Source organism: Homo sapiens, chromosome 8 (assembly GCF_000001405.40).
Source record: "Homo sapiens chromosome 8, GRCh38.p14 Primary Assembly".
Lineage (NCBI taxonomy): Eukaryota > Metazoa > Chordata > Mammalia > Primates > Hominidae > Homo > Homo sapiens.
In genome coordinates, this window is record NC_000008.11 from 102,126,955 (window position 1) to 102,145,576 (window position 18,622).

Here is an 18,622-nt window from a genome sequence, read left to right on the forward strand (position 1 = left end):
TCTTCCATATCCTCGCCAACACTTGTTATTTGCCACTGAAAAAATCATACCATCCTAGTGGAGGTACAATGGTATCTCTTTTTTTAAATTTTTCTTTAAGTTCTGGGATACATGTGCAGAATGTGCAGGTTTGTTACATAGGTATACATGTGCCATGGTGGTTTGCTGCACCCATCAACCCATCATCTAGGTTTTAAGCCCCACATGCATTAGGTATTTGTCCTAATGCTCTCCATCCCCTTGCTCCCCAACCCCCACAACCGACAGGCCCTGGTGTGTGTTGTTCCCTCCCTGTGTCCGTGTGTTCCATGTGTTCTCATAGAGTGGTATCTTATAACATTTGATTTCCATTTTCCTAATGGCTCATGGTGTTGGTCATCTTCATGTGTGTATTGGCCATAACTTCTTCAGAGAAATGTCTATTCAGATCCTTTGCCCATTTTAAATTTGGTTATTTATCATTTTATTATCCAGGTGTGAGAATTTTTTTATATACTCTGGATATAAGTCCCTTATCAGATCTATGATTTGTCAGTATTTCCTCCATTTCTGTGGCTTGCCTTTTTATTTTCTTGGTGCTGTCCTTTGACGCATAAAAGTTTTCCATTTTGATGAAACACAAATTATCTGTCTTTTCTTTTGATGCTTGTACTTTTAGTGTCATACCTAAAAGGCTTTGCCTAATTCAAGAACATAAAGATTTATGTCTGAATGTTGGGCCCTGCTTTTTTTTTTTTAAGATGGAGTTTCACTCTTGTTGCCCAGGCTGGAGTGCAATGGCATGATCTCGGATCACTGCAACCTCCGCCTCCCAGGTTCAAGTGATTCTCCTGCCTCAGCTTCCTGAGTAGCTGGGATTACAGGTGCCCGCCACCATGCCCAGCTAATTTTTGTATTTTTAGTAGAGACAGGGTTTCACCATGTTGGCCAGGCTGGTCTTGAATTCCTGACCTCAGGTGATCCACCCGCCTTGGCCTCCCAAAGTGCTGGGATTACAGGAGTGAGCCACCCCTCCTGGCCGGGCCCTGCTTTTTTAAACGCTCTTTCAACAGTGTGGTATTGAAAACTGGGAACACTGAGACAACCGGCAGTAAGTCTACATTCAGAGCCTCCCACCTCAAGAGGTCTCATTTGCTGGGACAGTTCTCTCACCACCTCATTTGGTCAACTTTGGGCACTGACTGGCAAGTTTGTGTCAAGCAAGCAACTGAATGTATAGATTTTAGACTAGCCAGTCCAACAATGGCAAGTATTCATTCTAAGGGCCTCCTGTGTGCTTAGAGCTGCTCCAGGCTCTCAGGATATAGCACTAAACAAGACAGACAGGTTCATGCTCTTGTGGGCCTTAAAGTTTAATGAGAGAAAAATAAATAGAGCACATAAGACATATATTAGATGAGTGCCTATGTCAGTAATTCACATAGAATGATTGATGGAACAGCTGAGGAAGGAGCCAGGCAGGGGAAACACAGTGCAAAGGCTCTAACTTGGGGGTAGGTTGGGGGGAAATACACAGCTTATTCTGGAATCCAGGAAATCAGATGTGCTAGAGCTTGGTGGGGGTGCCTTTGGCTGAACTCCCCGCAAGCAGAGCCTGAGCAAAAGTTTAGGCATGAACAGTGCGTAAGGAAGTGAAATCACAGGGGAGTAGGACTGAGAGAAAAGGGAAGTGAGTCAGGAGAAGAGGGAGAGCAACTACAAGGAAGTGCATTCCGTGGCTGGGCATTGCCTCTCGAGTCTGCAGGAGCACCAAGGGTTGGTCAGGAGGCAGTATGGGGGCATTACTGAGAGTTTAGGAGGGATCCAAGAGAAAGGCACTGATCTATGGTCTTCAGAGAAACAATGTAATGCTTCTGAAGTTCCAAACATCTGTCGGCAGTGGAGGAAGACTACTGGTGTGGTTGGAAGAAAGAAAACTTACTAGCAGGCTCCCTTCTCCCGTTAGTCAATTTAGTCTCCCATTAGTTAACTTAGCCCTCCTAGGTTGCATTTGAGTGGCCACAAAGTAGCTGCCTGGACAACATCAGGGAAGTCCCAAGGTGGAAGGCAAGGCATATGACAGGAGGTGAGGCACTGCTGGGCTGGCTGTACCTGAGAGCGCCCTGAGGGACTGGGAGCAGCAGCCACAGTGAGCACCTCAATCCGAAGTAGTAGCAGAAGTAGCAGCAACCCGGCCCCCTGAACACAGTGATAGTACAGACCACTGCTGGGTTTGCTCTAGCAAATTGGTGCATTATCATCTATCTTAGAGGATGCATAAAATGAGCTTAATACAGTGGCCAGAAGGGAGAGTAAAAAACAAGGTCACAGAGTGCCAGGGCCAGACCATGGACTGTTTCGCAACCTGGGATCAAGAACATAAAATTTACTCTCAGTTGGAATTTATTCTAAGAACAATGCAAAGTCATTGAAGGCTCCTTTGAAATGTATTTTTTTTAATTGACAAACAATAAAATTCACTTTCTTAATAAGCAGTTCTGCTTGTTTTAATAAATGCACGGTTGAGTAGCCATCATTTCTATCAGAATTCAGAGCACTGTCACCCCTCCAAAAATGTTACTGCCCATTGTAGTGAAGCCTTTGCCCTAACCCTAGCCCCTGGCAATCACTGATGTGTTCTTTGCCTCCGTGGTTCTTTCTTTTCAAGAACGTCAGATCAATGAATCATATAGTATGTAGCCTTTCAAGTCTGGCTTCACTTAGCATGAAGCATGTGTTATTCATTTGTGTTGTTAAGTACATCAATGATTTATTCCTTTTTATGGTATGAATGTACCATAGGTTGTTATTCATTCACCAGTTGAAGGAAAGTTAGGTTATTTCCAGTTTGGGGCAATTATTAATAAAGCTACTAAAATAATTGCCTACAGTTTTTTCTGTGAATACAAGCTGTTATTCCATTTGGTCAAATATATAGGACTGGCATTGCTAGATCCCATGGTAAGTGTATAACTATGATATATATAGCTAAACTATATATATCAAAAAGACAGAAAATAACAGATGCTGGCAAGGATGGGGAGAAAAGGGGAATGCTAATACACTGCTGGTGGAAATATAAATTAGTACAACCACTATGGAAAACTGCATGGAGGTTCCTCAAAAAATGAAAAATAGAACTACTATATGATCCAGCTGCTGGGAACATATCCAAAAAAAAGGAAATCAGTAAATCAAAGAGATACTTACACTCCTATATTTACTGCAACACCATTTCACAATAGCCAAGGTATGGAATCGACCCAAGTGTCTGTCAATGGATCAATGAATAAAGAAAATGTGGTATATATACACAATAAAATATTATTCAGCCAAAAAAAAGAATGAAATATTGTCATTTGTAGCAATGTAGGTGGAATTGGAGAACATTATGCTAGGTGAACTAAGCCAGACACAGAAAGACAAATACCACATGTTCTCACTTATATGTGGAATCTAAAGCAATCAAACTCATAGAAGTGGAGAGTAGATGGTGGTTACCAGAGCTGGGAAGGGGAGGAGTATGAAAGGAGGCTGGTTAATAGGTACAAAAACACACTTAGATAGAAGTAATAAGTTCTAGTGTTCGATAGCACAGTAGGGTGACTATAGTTAACAATAATTTATTATATATTTCAAAATCATTAGAAGAGAAGATTTGAAATGTTCCCAACACAAAGAAATGATAAATGTTTGAGGTGATGAATATCCTAATTATTCTGGTTTGATCATTACACATCGTATACCCGTATCAAAATATCACATGTACCCCATAAATATTTAAAATTATTATGTATCAATAAAAAAGAAACTGACAAACTGTTTTCGAAATTGCATTTCAACAGCAATATATGAGAGTTGTGGTTATTCTTTTTAAAATTGTATTGTAAATTGATAAGTTATAATCATACATATCTATGGGATACAAAGTGATTAATGTATTATGATTTATGAATACAATGTAGAATATTAAATCAAACTAATTAGCATATCCATTACCTCAAATACTTATTTTTTGTGGTGAGAACATTTGAAATTTACTCTCTTAGCAATTTTGAAATGTATAATACACTATTATTAACTATATTTGCCTCAACATGCAACAATAGATCTCAAAAGGAAAACTTATTCCTCCTAAGACTTCATATTCTTTGATTGTCATTTCCCCATTCCCACCCCCAACCTTGATAACCACCATTCAGTTCTCTGCTTTTAGGAGTCTGATTGTTTTAGGTTCTAAATGTAAGTGAGAACATGCAGATTTTGTCCTTCTGTGCTTGGCATATTTCACTTAGCATAATGTTTTCCAAATCCATCCATGTTGTCACAAATGACAGGATTTCCTTCTTTTTAAAGGCTGTATAGTATCCTATTATGTATATACTTGTATAGCACATTTTCTTTATCCATCTCTGTTGATGGATGTTTTGGTTGATTTCATGTTTTGGCTATTGTGAATAGTGCTGCAATGAACATGGGGGTACAAACATCTCTTAAACAAGTTAATTTCAAATAGTTTGGGTAAATACCCAGAAGTGAGTTTGCTGGGCTATATGGTAATTCTATTTTTAGTTTTTAAAGGAAACTCCATATAGTTTTCCATGATTGTACTAATTTATATTCCCACCAACAATGTACAAGGGTCCCCTTTTTTTCACTTCTTTGCCAATATTTTTTTTTGTCTTTTTGATAATAGCCATTCTGATAGGTGTAAGGTGATACCTCACTGTGGTTTTAATTTGCATTTCCCTAATGATTAGCAATGTTGAACATTTTTTCATATTGCTATTGGCTATTTGTATGTCTTCTTTTGAGAAATGTCTATTCAGGCCCCTTGCTCATTTTAAAATCACATTATTTGTCTTCTTGCTATTGAGTTGTTTGAGTTCTTTATATATTTTAGATATTAATTTCTAATAGATGTACGGCTCTCAAATATTTTCTCCTAATCCATAGATTGTCTCTTCATACTGCTGTTTCCTGGGCTGTGTAGAAGCTTTATAGTTTGATGCAATCCCATTTCCTTATTTTTGCTTTTGTTGCCTGTACTTTGGGGGTCAAATCCAAAAACTCATTGACCAGACCAATGTCATGTAGTTTTTCTCCTATGTTTTCTTCTAGTAGTTTTATAGTTTCAAGACTTATGCTTAAGTCTTTAATTCCTTTTGAGCTGGTTTTTGTATATGGTATGAGATAAAGGTCCAATTTAATTCTTCTTTATGTGTATATCCATTTTTCCTAATACCATTTATTGAAGGGACTATCCTTTGCCTATTGTGTATTCTTAGCACCTTTGTCAAAAATCAATTGACGGTACATATATAGGTTCATTTTTGGCTCCCCATTCTGTTCCATTGATCAGTGTGTCTATTTTTATGCCAGTACCTTGCTGTTTGAATTATTACTTTGTGGCATAGATTGAAAGCAGATAGTGTGAAGCCTCTAGCTTTGTTCTTTTTGCTCATGATTGCCTTGCCTAGTCAGGGTTTTTTATTTGTGTGTGGTTGTAAATGAATTTTCTTTACCTTTGTGTTGTGCATTCTTCATTCTGAGACCCAAGTGTCCTTGTGATATGATTAGCCATCATCCAGAAAAACTTATAACCCTCATACATTACTAGTGAGATTGAAAAATGGTGTAGCCACTTTGCAAAAGTATTTATTAGTTCCTCAAAATGTTAAACATAGAGTTACGATATGACCCAGTATTCCACTCCTAGGTATATAAAAAGAAATGAAAGTATGTGTATTAATCAGGATCCACCAGAGGGACAGAACTAATCAGCTACATGAAAGGGAGTTTATTAAGAAAAATTGGCAGCTGGAGCCAAGATGGCCGAATAGGAACCGCTCCGGTCTACAGCTCCCAGTGTGAGCGACGCAGAAGACGGGTGATTTCTGTATTTCCATCTGAGGTACCGGGTTCATCTCACTAGGGAGTGCCAGACAGAAGGCGCAGGACAGTGGGTGCAGTGCACCAAACGCAAGCCGAAGCAGGGAGAGGCATTGCCTCACTCAGGAAGCACAAGGGGTCAGGGAGTTCCCTTTCCTAGTCAAGGAAAGGGGTGACAGACGGCACCTGGAAAATCGGGTCACTCCCACCCCAATACTGCGCTTTTCCCACGGGCTTAAAAAACGGCGCACCAGGAGATTATATCCTGCACCTGGCTTGGAGGGTCCTACGCCCACGGAGTCTCGCTGATTGTTAGCACAGCAGTCTGAGATCAAACTGCAAGGCAGCAGTGAGGCTGGGGGAGGGGCGCCCGCCATTGCCCAGGCTTGCTTAGGTAAACAAAGCAGCCAGGAAGCTCGAACTGGGTGGAGCCCACCACAGCTCAAGGAGGCCGGCCTGCCTCTGTAGGCTCCACCTCTGGGGGCAGGGCACAGACAAACAAAAAGACAGCAGTAACCTCTGCAGACTTAAATGTCCCTGTCTGACAGCTTTGAAGAGAGCAGTAGTTCTCCCAGAGCGCAGCTGGAGATTTGAGAACGGGCAGACTGCCTCCTCAAGTGGGCCCTGACCCCTGACCCCCAAGCAGCCTAACTGGGAGGCACCCCCCAGTAGGGGCAGACTGACACCTCACAGGGCCGGGTACTCCTCTGAGACAAAACTTCCAGAGGAACGTTCAGACAGCAGCATTCGCGGTTCACGAAAATCCACTGTTCTGCAGCCACTACTGCTGGTACCCAGGCAAACAGGGTCTGGAGTGGACCTCTAGCAAACTCCAACAGACCTGCAGCTGAGGGTCCTGTCTGTTAGAAGGAAAACTAACAAACAGAAAGGACATCCACACCAAAAACCCATCTGTACATCACCATCATCAAAGACCAAAAGTAGATAAAACCACAAAGATGGGGAAAAAGCAGAGCAGAAAAACTGGAAACTCTAAAAAGTAGAGCGCCTCTCCTCCTCCAAAGGAACGCAGCTCCTCACCAGCAATGGAACAAAGCTGGATGGAGAATGACTTTGACAAGTTGAGAGAAGAAGGCTTCAGACGATCAAACTACTCCGAGCTACAGGAGGAAATTCAAACCAAAGGCAAAGAAGTTGAAAACTTTGAAAAAAATTTAGACGAATGTATAACTAGAATAACCAATACAGAGAAGTGCTTAAAGGAGCTGATGGACCTGAAAGCCAAGGCTCGAGAACTACGTGAAGAATGCAGAAGCCTCAGGAGCCGATGCGATCAACTGGAATAAAGGGTATCAGTGATGGAAGATGAAATGAATGAAATGAAGTGAGAAGGGAAGTTTAGAGAAAAAAGAATAAAAAGAAACAAATAAAGTCTCCAAGAAATATGGGACTATGTGAAAAGACCAAATCTACATCTGATTGGTGTACCTGAAAGTGATGGGGAGAATGGAACCAAGTTGGAAAACACTCTGCAGGATATAATCCAGGGGAACTTCCCCAATCTAGCAAGGCAAGCCAACATTCAGATCCAGGAAATACAGAGACCACCACAAAGATACTCCTCGAGAAGAGCAACTCCAAGACACATAATTGTCAGATTCACCAAAGTTGAAATGAAGGAAAAAATGTTAAGGGCAGCGAGAGAGAAAGGTCGGGTTACCCACAAAGGGAAGCCCATCAGACTAACAGCTGATCTCTCGGCAGAAACTCTACAAGCCAGAAGAGAGTGGGGGCCAATATTCAACATTCTTAAAGAAAAAAATTTTCAACCCAGAATTTCATATCCAGCCAAACTAACCTTCATAAGTGAAGGAGAAATAAAATACTTTACAGACAAGCAAATGCTGAGAGATTTTGTCACCACCAGGCCTGCCCTAAAAGAGCTCCTGAAGGAAGCACTAAACATGGAAAGGAACAACCAGTACCAGCCACTGCAAAATCATGCCAAATTGTAAAGACCATCAAGGCGAGGAAGAAACTGCATCAACTAACGAGCAAAATAACCAGCTAACATCATAATGACAGGATCAAATTCACACATAACAATATTAACTTTAAATGTAAATGGACTAAATGCTCCAATTAAAAGGCATAGACTGGCAAATTGGATAAAGAGTGAAGACCCATCAGTGTGCTGTATTCAGGAAACTCATCTCACGTGCAGAGACACACATAGGCTCAAAATAAAAGGATGGAGGAAGATCTACCAAGCAAATGGAAAACAAAAAAAGGCAGGGGTTGCAATCCTAGTCTCTGATAAAACAGACTTTAAGCCAACAAAGATCAAAAGAGACAAAGAAGGCCATTACATAATGGTAAAGGGATCAATTCAACAAGAAGAGCTAACTATCCTAAATATATATGCACCCAATACAGGAGCACCCAGATTCATAAAGCAAGTCCTGAGTGACCTACAAAGAGACTTAGACTCCCACACAATAATAATGGGAGACTTTAACACCCCACTGTCAACATTAGACAGATCAACGAGACAGAAAGTTAACAAGGATACCCAGGAATTGAACTCGGCTCTGCACCAAGCAGACCTAATAGACATCTACAGAACTCTCCACCCCAAATCAACAGAATATACATTTTTTTCAGCACCACACCACACCTATTCCAAAATTGACCACATACTTGGAAGTAAAGCTCTCCTCAGCAAATGTAAAAGATCAGAAATTATAACAAACTGTCTCTCAGACCACAGTGCAATCAAACTAGAACTCAGGGTTAAGAAAATCACTCAAAACCGCTCAACTACATGGAAACTGAACAACCTGCTCCTGAATGACTACTGGGTACATAACGAAATGAAGGCAGAAATAAAGATGTTATTTGAAACCAACGGGAACAAAGACACAACATACCAGAATCTCTGGGACACATGCAAAGCAGTGTGTAGAGGGAAATTTAGAGCACTAAATGCCCACAAGAGAAAGCAGGAAAGATCCAAAATTGACACCCTAACATCACAATTAAAAGAACTAGAAAAGCAAGAGCAAACACATTCAAAAGCTAGCAGAAGGCAAGAAATAACTAAAATCAGAGCAGAATTGAAGGAAATAGAGACACAAAAAACCTTCAAAAAATTAATGAATCCAGGAGGTGGTTTTTTGAATGCATCAACAAAATTGATAGACTGCTAGCAAGACTAATAAAGAAGACAAGAGAGAAGAATCAAACAGACACAATAAAAAATGATAAAGGGGATATCACTGCCGATCCCACAGAAATACAAACTACCATCAGAGAATACTACAAACTCCTCTACGCAAATAATCTAGAAAATCTAGAAGAAATCGATAAATTCCTCGACACATACACCCTCCCAAGACTAAACCAGGAAGAAGTTGAATCTCTGAATAGACCAATAACAGGCTCTGAAATTGTGGCAATAATCAATAGCTTACCAACCAAAAAGAGTCCAGGACCAGATGGATTCACAGCCGAATTCTACCAGAGGTACAAGGAGGAACTGGTACCATTCCTTCTGAAACTATTCCAATGAATAGAAAAAGAGGGAATCCTCCCTAACTCATTTTATGAGGCCAGCATCATCCTGATGCAAAAGCCGACAGAGACACAACAAAAAAAGAGAATTTTATACCAATATCCTTGATGAACATTGATGCGAAATTCCTCAATAAAATACTGGCAAACTGAATCCAGCAGCACATCAAAAAGCTTATCCACAATGATCAAGTGGGCTTCATCCCTGGGATGCAAGGCTGGTTCAATATATGCAAATCAATAAATGTAATCCAGCATATAAACAGAACCAAAGACAAAAACCACATGATTATCTCAATAGATGCAGAAAAGGCCTTTGACAAAATTCAACAACACTTCATGCTAAAAACTCTCAATAAATTAGGTATTGATGGGATGTATCTCAAAATAATAAGAGCTATCTATGACAAACCCACAGCCAATATCATACTGAATGGGCAAAAACTGGAAGCATTCCCTTTGAAAACTGGCACAAGACAGGGATGCCCTCTCTCACCACTCCTATTCAACATAGTGTTGGAAGTTCTGGCCAGGGCAATTAGGCAGGAGAAGGAAATAAAGGGTATTCAATTAGGAAAAGAGGAAGTCAAATTGTCCCTCTTTGTAGATGACATGATTGTATACCTAGAAAACCCCATTGTCTCAACCCAAAATCTCCTTAAGCTGATAAGCAACTTCAGCAAAGTCTCAGGATACAAAATCAATGTACAAAAATCACAGGCATTCTTATACACCAATAACAGACAAACAGAGAGCCAAATCATGACTGAACTCCCATTCACAACTGCTTCAAAGAGAATAAAATACCTAGGAATCCAACTTACAAGGGACGTGAAGGACCTCTTCAAGGAGAACTACAAACCACTGCTCAATGAAATAAAAGAGGATACAAACAAATGGAAGAACATTCCATGCTCATAGGTAGGAAGAATCAATATCATGAAAATGGCCATACTGCCCAAGGTAATTTATAGATTCAACACCATCCCCATCAAGCTACCAATGACTTCACAGAATTGGAAAAAACTACTTTAAAGGTCATATGGAACCCAAAAAGAGCCCGCATCGCCAAGTCAATCCTAAGCCAAAAGAACAAAGCTGGAGGCATCATGCTACTTGACTTCAAACTATACTACAAGGTTACAGTAACCAAAACAGCATGGTACTGGTACCAAAACAGAGATAGAGACCAATGGAACAGAACAGGACCCTCAGAAATAATGCCACATATCTACGACTATCTGATCTTTGACAAACCTGAGAAAAACAAGCAATGGGGAAAGGATTCCCTATTTAATAAATGGTGCTGGGAAAACTGGCTAGCCATAAGTAGAAAGCTGAAACTGGATCCCTTCCTTACACCTTATACAAAAATTAATTCAAGATGGATTAAAGACTTAAACGTTAGACCTAAAACCATAAAAACCCTAGAAGAAAACCTAGGCATTACTATTCAGGACATAGGCATGTGCAAGGACTTCATGTCTAAAACACCAAAAGCAATGGCAACAAAAGCCAAAATTGACAAATGGGATCTAATCAAACTAAAGAGCTTCTGCACAGCAAAAGAAACTACCATCAGAGTGAACAGGCAAACTACAAAATGGGAGAAAATTTTTGCAACCTACTCATCTGACAAAGGGCTAATATCCAGAATCTACAATTAACTCAAACAAATTTACAAGAAAAAAACAAACAACCCCATCAAAAAGTGGGCAAAGGACATGAACAGACACTTCTCAAAAGAAGACATTTATGCAGCCAAAAAACACATGAAAAAATGCTCACCATCACTGGCCATCAGAGAAATGCAAATCAAAACCACAATGAGATACCATCTCACACCAGTTAGAATGGCAATCATTAAAAAGTCAGGAAACAACAGGTGCTGGAGAGGATGTGGAGAAATAGGAACACTTTTACACTGTTGGTGGGACTGTAAACTAGTTCAACCCTTGTGGAAGTCAGTGTGGCGATTCCTCAGGGATCTAGAACTAGAAATACCATTTGACCCAGCCATCCCATTACTGGGTATATACCCAAAGGACTATAAATCATGCTGCTATAAAGACACATGCACACGTATGTTTATTGCGGTACTATTGACAATAGCAAAGACTTGGAACCAACGCAAATGTCCAACAATGATAGACTGGATTAAGAAAATGTGGCACATATACACCATGGAATACTATGCAGCCATAAAAAAATGATGAGTTCATATCCTTTGTAGGGACATGGATGAAATTGGAAATCATCATTCTCAGTAAACTATCGCAAGAACAAAAAACCAAACACCGCATATTCTCACTCATAGGTGGGAATTGAACAGTGAGAACACATGGACACAGGAAGGGGAACATCACACTCTGGGGACTGTTGTGGGGTCGGGGGAGGGGGGAGGGATAGCTTTAGGAGATATAACTAATGCTAAATGACGAGTTAGTGGGTGCAGCACACCAGCATGGCATGCATGTATACATATGTAACTAACCTGCACATTGTGCACATGTACCCTAAAACTTAAAGTATAATAATAATAAAATAAAATAAAATAAAATAAAAATTGGCTCACATGAGCACAAGGAGAAGTCCTGCGATAGGCTGTCTGCAAGCTGGGGAAGAAGGCAGTAGAGGCTCAGTCTGAGTCCAAAAGCCTCAAAAGCAGGGAAGCTGACAGTGCAGCCTTCAGTCTCTGGCCGAAGGCCTGAGAGCCCCCGGCAAACCATTAATATCAATCCAAGAGCCCAAAGGCCAAAGAACCTGGAGTCTGATGTCTAAGGGCAGGAGGAAGGGAAGGAAGCACCCAGCACGGGGAAAAAGATGAAAGCCAGAAGACTCAGCAAGCCAGCTTATCCCACCTTCTTCCACCTGTTTTGTTTTAGCTGCACTGGTAGCGGATTGGATGGTGCCCGCCCACATTGCAGGTGGGTCTTCCTCTCCCAGTCCACTGACTCAAATGTCAATCTCCTCTGGCAACATCCTGAAAAACACACCCAGAAACAATACTTTATCAGCTATCTAGACATCCTTCAGTCCAATCAAGTTGACACCTAATATTAACCATCACAGCATATATCCACACAAAAACTTGAACGTAAGTGTTCACAACAACATTATTCATAATAGCCAAAAAGTGGAAACGAATTAAATTTCTATCAACTAACGTATGGATAAACAAAATGTGGTATATCCATACAATGGAATATAATCTGGCTATAAAAAAATGAAGTACTGATATATGCTACGATATGGATGAACCTTAAGAACATTATGCTAAGTGAAAGAAGCCAGTCACAAAACACCACATATTGTATGATTCCATTTATATGGATGGAATGTCTTGGACAGGCAAATCCATAGAGACAGAAAGTAAATTAGCAGTTTCCTAGGGATGAAGGGGAAATGGAGAATAACAGCTGTGGCTATTGGATTTCTTGTTGGGGAGATGAAAGTGTTCTAAAATGGACTGTGGTGATGATTGCACAACTCTGAATATATTAAAAACCACTGAATAACACACTTTAAGTGGGTGAATTGTTTGGTATGTGAAATATAGCTCAGTAATGCTGTTTTCAAAAAACATGTAAATAACTATAAAAAAGCATTTTCAAACTATACACTCCTGTTCACTCTAGCTTAAAACAACAATTCTCAGTCTTTAGATCCATAGAATCACCTGGGTGTCTTGTTATACTGCAGGTGGTAACTCCTTACCTCTGGATTTGGGCCTGATATTTTGCATTTCTAACAAGTTCCGAGGTAATGCTGGTATTTCTTGTCCAGGAATCACACTTAGAGTAGCAAAGGATGTTTGAGACATTTTCCTCTCAGGATGGCATACCAAAACCTCTGTAACAGGAGAAAAGGCTTAGGGAGGGGGGCTGATCAGTAGAGAAAGTTCCCAGCTGCTTTTCATATGCTCTCTAAATTGAACATGCCATTTATTAGAGGTTTGAAAACAGCTGGACTAAAATCTCATCAGAATCACCTGGGAGGATGGAGCTGTGGTGATGGTGAAGCAAGAGAGTTTTCCTGGGCCACAAAATTTCAGTTCCCTATACCAGAGATCTCTCCCTGGATACACGGGTTAGGAGGGTACTTTGAGTTGCCTCTCTTGAAGAGAGTAAGGGGATGTATCTTCTAGGTGTTTTAGAATTAGTATTCTTATTAATAAAAAGTACCCTCACCTACCCCATAGACAATTCTGTTGTTCAGATAGATTTGGAGCCCACCAGTGTAGAAGGCTTCTTTGCTCCCTTCTGGATCTTAAATTCTATGAGACAAGATCCTTTATTCAGCTCAAACATTTACTCTGTTTTCTGTATGACATGCATAATTTAGGGCCCTCTATCTATAGGAATCGAAGCTTAGTACATACTTCACCAATCATAAGGTCTACTGAGAGAGACTCACACATAAGCCTATGTTACATTGCAGGGAAAATGCTCTAATATTCGTATGAACTTGCTTCTACTTATTCTTAATTTCCTAATCCTTCAAGGAGAGGAGATCTGCACCCTGAGCTCTAGCTGAATCCATGGTGCCTTAGATCAAAGCTACATCCCTCATAGCCACATAAAAGCCAATCTTTGCTGAATTTTGCCCACAGAAGAGTCTTCCTCTTATGAAACCTCAGAATTTGTAGACTCCCTTTGAGATAATTTAAGCCTAACATCTTAATGAAGACTTTGGAATTTCCCTTTAGATCTCTTCTTTCCCCTTCAGTTTACAGGCTCTATAAAAGGAACCTATTGCTTTTAAATGTCTCTTCCTTTATCTCCATTCAAGGATGATCATATCTCTACATCCTACATCTAGATTATGTTTTTTTCCTACTACATGTGTATTTAATAATATCTCTTCGTCTGATTATAGCTCATGCTTGCTAGCTAAGGATACGCTGACATACCCCACCAAAGTCACAACTTCAGTATGTGGAGGGGAGTAGAGAGGTTTTCATTAAAATGGATTGTCCACTGTCATAGCACAGTACTACTTCAGTACTACTCTTCATCTCCAAAGTATGGATGTGAAGAAGCAGACCAGTAATGTTGGCAGTGACAGTTGATCAGTTATCTTCCAACTTCCAGTGTGTCCACTGATCATTTTATCATCTTTGCAGTTCATCTTACAAGCCTTCAAAACATTCTCTAGGTATCTTGTATGTGGCACTCAGAACAAAGTGCAGTTCTCTGCAAAGATCCTTCTGACAGGCAGCTGAAGGTCCTGGGCACCAACCTTGAGGCCATCGCAGTATGCTGGAGTCTTGAGAGCTGATTGTTGAGTAGTCAGGAATTTTGTGTCCAACTTTAAAAAAATTGAAATCATACAAAATATGTTCTCTGAGCATAAAACAGAATTAAACGAGAAGTCAATCACAGAAAAATCCCTAAATATTTGGATTTTTTTTTTTTTTTTTTTGAGACAGAATCTTGCTCTGTCGCCCAGGCTGGAGTGCTGTGGCATGATCTCGGCTCACTGCAACCTCTGCCTCCTGGGTTCAAGCGATTCTCCTGTCTCAGCCTCCCCAGTAGCTGGGATTACAGGTGCACACCAGCACACCTGGCTAATTTTTGTATTTTTTTAGTAGAGACAGGGTTTTGCCATGTTGGCCAGGCTGGTCTTGAACTCCTGACCTCAGGTGATCCACCCACCTCGGGATCCACCCACCTCCCAAAGTGCTGGGATTACAGGGGTGAGCCACCACACCTGGAAATATTTGGAATTTAAGTCTCCCAATATTCAGAAATTAAACAACACATTTATAAATTACCTATTGGTTAAAGAAGTTTAAAGGGAAGTTAGAAATGTTTTGAGGGAGGGGTATTGATATCTCTGACTGTAATTGTGAATTTGTCTATTTGTCCTTGAAGTTCTCTCATGTATTTTGCTTCATGCATTTTGAAGCTCTGTTATTAGGTGCATAGACATTTAAAATGTTTATGTTCTCTAATTGACCAGTGTGTCATGATGAAATGATCCTCATTACTCCTAGTAATAGTCTTTGCTCTGAATCTACTTTGTCCAATATTAATGTAGTCACTCCAGCTTTGTTTTATTAGTAGTAGCATCATATATTTTTAATCTTTTTACTTTTAGCAAATTTGTATTATTATATTTAAATTTGGTTTATTTTAAGCAGGATACCATTGAGTTTTGCCTTTTTATCCTGTCCGACAATCTCTGCCTTTTAATTAATGCTTAGATCATTTCCATTTAATATGATTACAGATATGTGTGGGTTTAAATCTACCATTTTGTTCCTTGTTTATTATTTGTCACCTCAGTTCCTATTTTGTTGTTTTCTGCCTCTTTATTTTTTATTATTCCATTTTATTTTCTTTGTTGACTCATTAGCTACACCTTCTTTTATTTTATATGATTGCTTTTGTGATTTTAGTGATGGCTTTAGTTATTTTGTTACTGAATGCCTTTTTTAGTGATGACTCTATCATAGTAATAATATGCCCTCAATTAATAATAATATACACTCAAGTAGTAATATACCACTTCACATATTGCGTAACATTACAACAATGCAGTTATATTTCCCCTTCTCAGCCTTTGTACTGTTTTTATACATTTTACTTTTACATATGTTATAAACCACACAACCTAATGGCATTATTTTTGTTTAAAATGGTCACTTATATTTTAAGATATTTAAAAAATAAGAAAAATATATCTGATATGTACCCACATATTTTCCATTTCTGGTATTCTTCAGTCCTTTAAATAGATCCAGATTTCCATTTGGTATCATTTGCCTTCACCTGAAGTACTTCCTTTAACACTTTCTGCAGCAAGTTTGCTATTAATACATTCTTTCACAGTTTATATGTCTGAAAAAGTCTTTATTTTGCTTTCATTTTTGACATTAATTTTTGCTATGTATAAAATTCTATTGTCAAAATGGTTGACAGTTTTTCTTTTAGTACTTTAAAGATGATCCACTGTCTTCTGCTTGCATTATTTCCAACAGGAAGTCTGCTCTCATACTTGTTCTATCCATTGTGTGTCTTTTTTTTTTCTGGCTAATTTTAAGGTATTTCTTTTAATCAGTAGTTTCAAGAAACTTAAGATGTGCCATCGTGTAGTTTTCCTCAGGTTTCTTGTATGTGAGGTTTATTTAGTTTTTTCAATCTGTAAGTTTTTCATCAAATTTGAAAAACTTTTAGTCATTAGTTTTTCAATATCGTACTCAACCACACACACACACCTCTACTTTGAGGACTCAAAATACACATGTATTAGGCTACTTAAAGTTGTCCCACAGTTCACTGATGGCTCTGTTTATTTATTTATTTATTTATTTATTTATTTATTTATTTATTTTGGTCAGTGTTTTTTCTGTGTTTTGCTTTATTTTCTATTGCTATGTCTTCAGGTTCAGTAATCTTTTCTTCTACAGTGTCTAATCTGTTTTAATCCTGTCCAATGTATCTCTCATCTCTAAAATTTCACTTTGAGTCTTCATATATTTTCTGTGTCTCTCCTTGACATGAATACTTTTCTTCTATATTCTTGAACATACTGGAATATATTTATAATGATTACTTCGATATACTTGTCTACTAATTCTATTACCTTCATCATTTCTAGGTCTGTTTGTATAGTTTAATTTTTATCCTCATTGTAAATTATGTTTTCCTTCTCCTTTGCATATGCCTGAAAATTTTTATTGGATGCCAGACATTGTGAATTTTACTATTCTGGGTTATAGGTATCTTTAAATTCCTTTAAATAGTCTGGAGTTTTAAGTAACTTGGTAACAGTTTGATCCTCTTAAGCTATGTTTGGCAGGACAAGAGAAGTATTTATTCCAGGCCTAATTTTTTCTCTACTACCAAGGCTAACACTTTTAACTACCCTGCCCAAAGCCCTGTGTATTGCAAGGTTTTTCCACCCTGGCTTGGGGCAACATGAATTATTTTCATCTCTGTGTGAACTCTAGGGATTGTTCCACCTGTTTTTCTTCTGGTGGTTCTTTCCCCAGCCTCGTTTTCTTCACATTCGTGCTGTAAGCAATACTTAGCTGAAGTCTCCAGAACTCCGGGAATCTCTTGAGCTCTCCTTCTGGGAAGCTCTCTTCCCTCAGGCATACTGCCTTAAAAATTCTAGTCGTGTTTTATCCCCTCCTCCCAAATTCTCAACTCTGTCTCTTCAAGTCAGAGAGAGCTTTGAGCTCCACTTGGGTTCCTCCTCCTTGAGCTTTGGTCTGGAGACTCTCCAGGCAGTAAGCTGGGGTAGATCATAGGTTCTTTTTGTTTGTTTATCTTCTCTGGGAGATCACTCTCCTGTGCTTTCTGTTCTGTATGTGATAACTGTCATTTTCATATACTTGTGCTTGTTTTTTAGACGATTGGGGCAAGAAGGTAAATTTAATCTCTGTTACTTGACTATGGCCAGAAGTGAGAGTCTCGTTTATTATTTCAAACTGAAAAAATACTTGCATATGGTTTTTAAAAAATTAGACAATACAAAAGGGAATATGTTAAAAAGTAGGTCTTCCTTATACCTTATGCCACTAATGCTCCCAATTCCCTAATCCCTTCCTTTTCAGATGCAGTAACACATTTCTTATAAAATGTTTCATAAATATTCTATGCATCTATTAGCATATGTATGAGAGAATACTATACACAACATTCTGTAGCCCCTACTTTCTTATGCTTAACAATATGTCTGGAGATGGTTCCATATGTGTGCACATGGTTCTCTTTATTTTTTATGGCTGCAGAGTCTTTCACTGTATGGCTATAATATGATTTATTTAACCAGTTCCTGATTGACGGATATTTAAATGAGTTTCCAGCCCTCTACTATTATAAGCAATGTTATAATGAATACTTTTGTACATAAATCTTGGGCACATATGACAATACCTTCTCTTAGTCCTTTTGGGCTACTACAACAAAATACCATGGACTGAGTAGCTTATAAACAACAGAAATTTATTTCTTACAGATCTGGAGATTAAGAGGTCTTGGATAAAACTGCCATTAAATTCAGTGTCTAGTGAGGGCCCATTTCCTGGTTCATAGATGACACTTACTTGCTGTGTCTTCACATGGTGCGGCAAGAGTTCTCTTATGAGTTCTTTCCATAAGAACATTAATTCCATTCTTGAGGGCTCCATTCTCATTACATAATCACCTCCCAAAGGCCCCACCTGCTACTACCATCACTTTGGGGATTCAGATTTTACCACATG

The 18,622-nt window shown here is 39.1% G+C and overlaps 2 annotated features.

The window, feature by feature from the left end:
- Positions 5,697 to 6,198: an enhancer, noted in NCBI's record as "H3K4me1 hESC enhancer chr8:103144879-103145380 (GRCh37/hg19 assembly coordinates)". NCBI's record gives its function as "activates a minimal SCP1, AML or CMV promoter by ChIP-STARR-seq in primed H9 embryonic stem cells {active_cell/tissue: H9 hESC(primed)}" and the evidence as "EXISTENCE:reporter gene assay evidence [ECO:0000049][PMID:30033119]".
- Positions 6,199 to 6,698: an enhancer, noted in NCBI's record as "H3K4me1 hESC enhancer chr8:103145381-103145880 (GRCh37/hg19 assembly coordinates)". NCBI's record gives its function as "activates a minimal SCP1, AML or CMV promoter by ChIP-STARR-seq in primed H9 embryonic stem cells {active_cell/tissue: H9 hESC(primed)}" and the evidence as "EXISTENCE:reporter gene assay evidence [ECO:0000049][PMID:30033119]".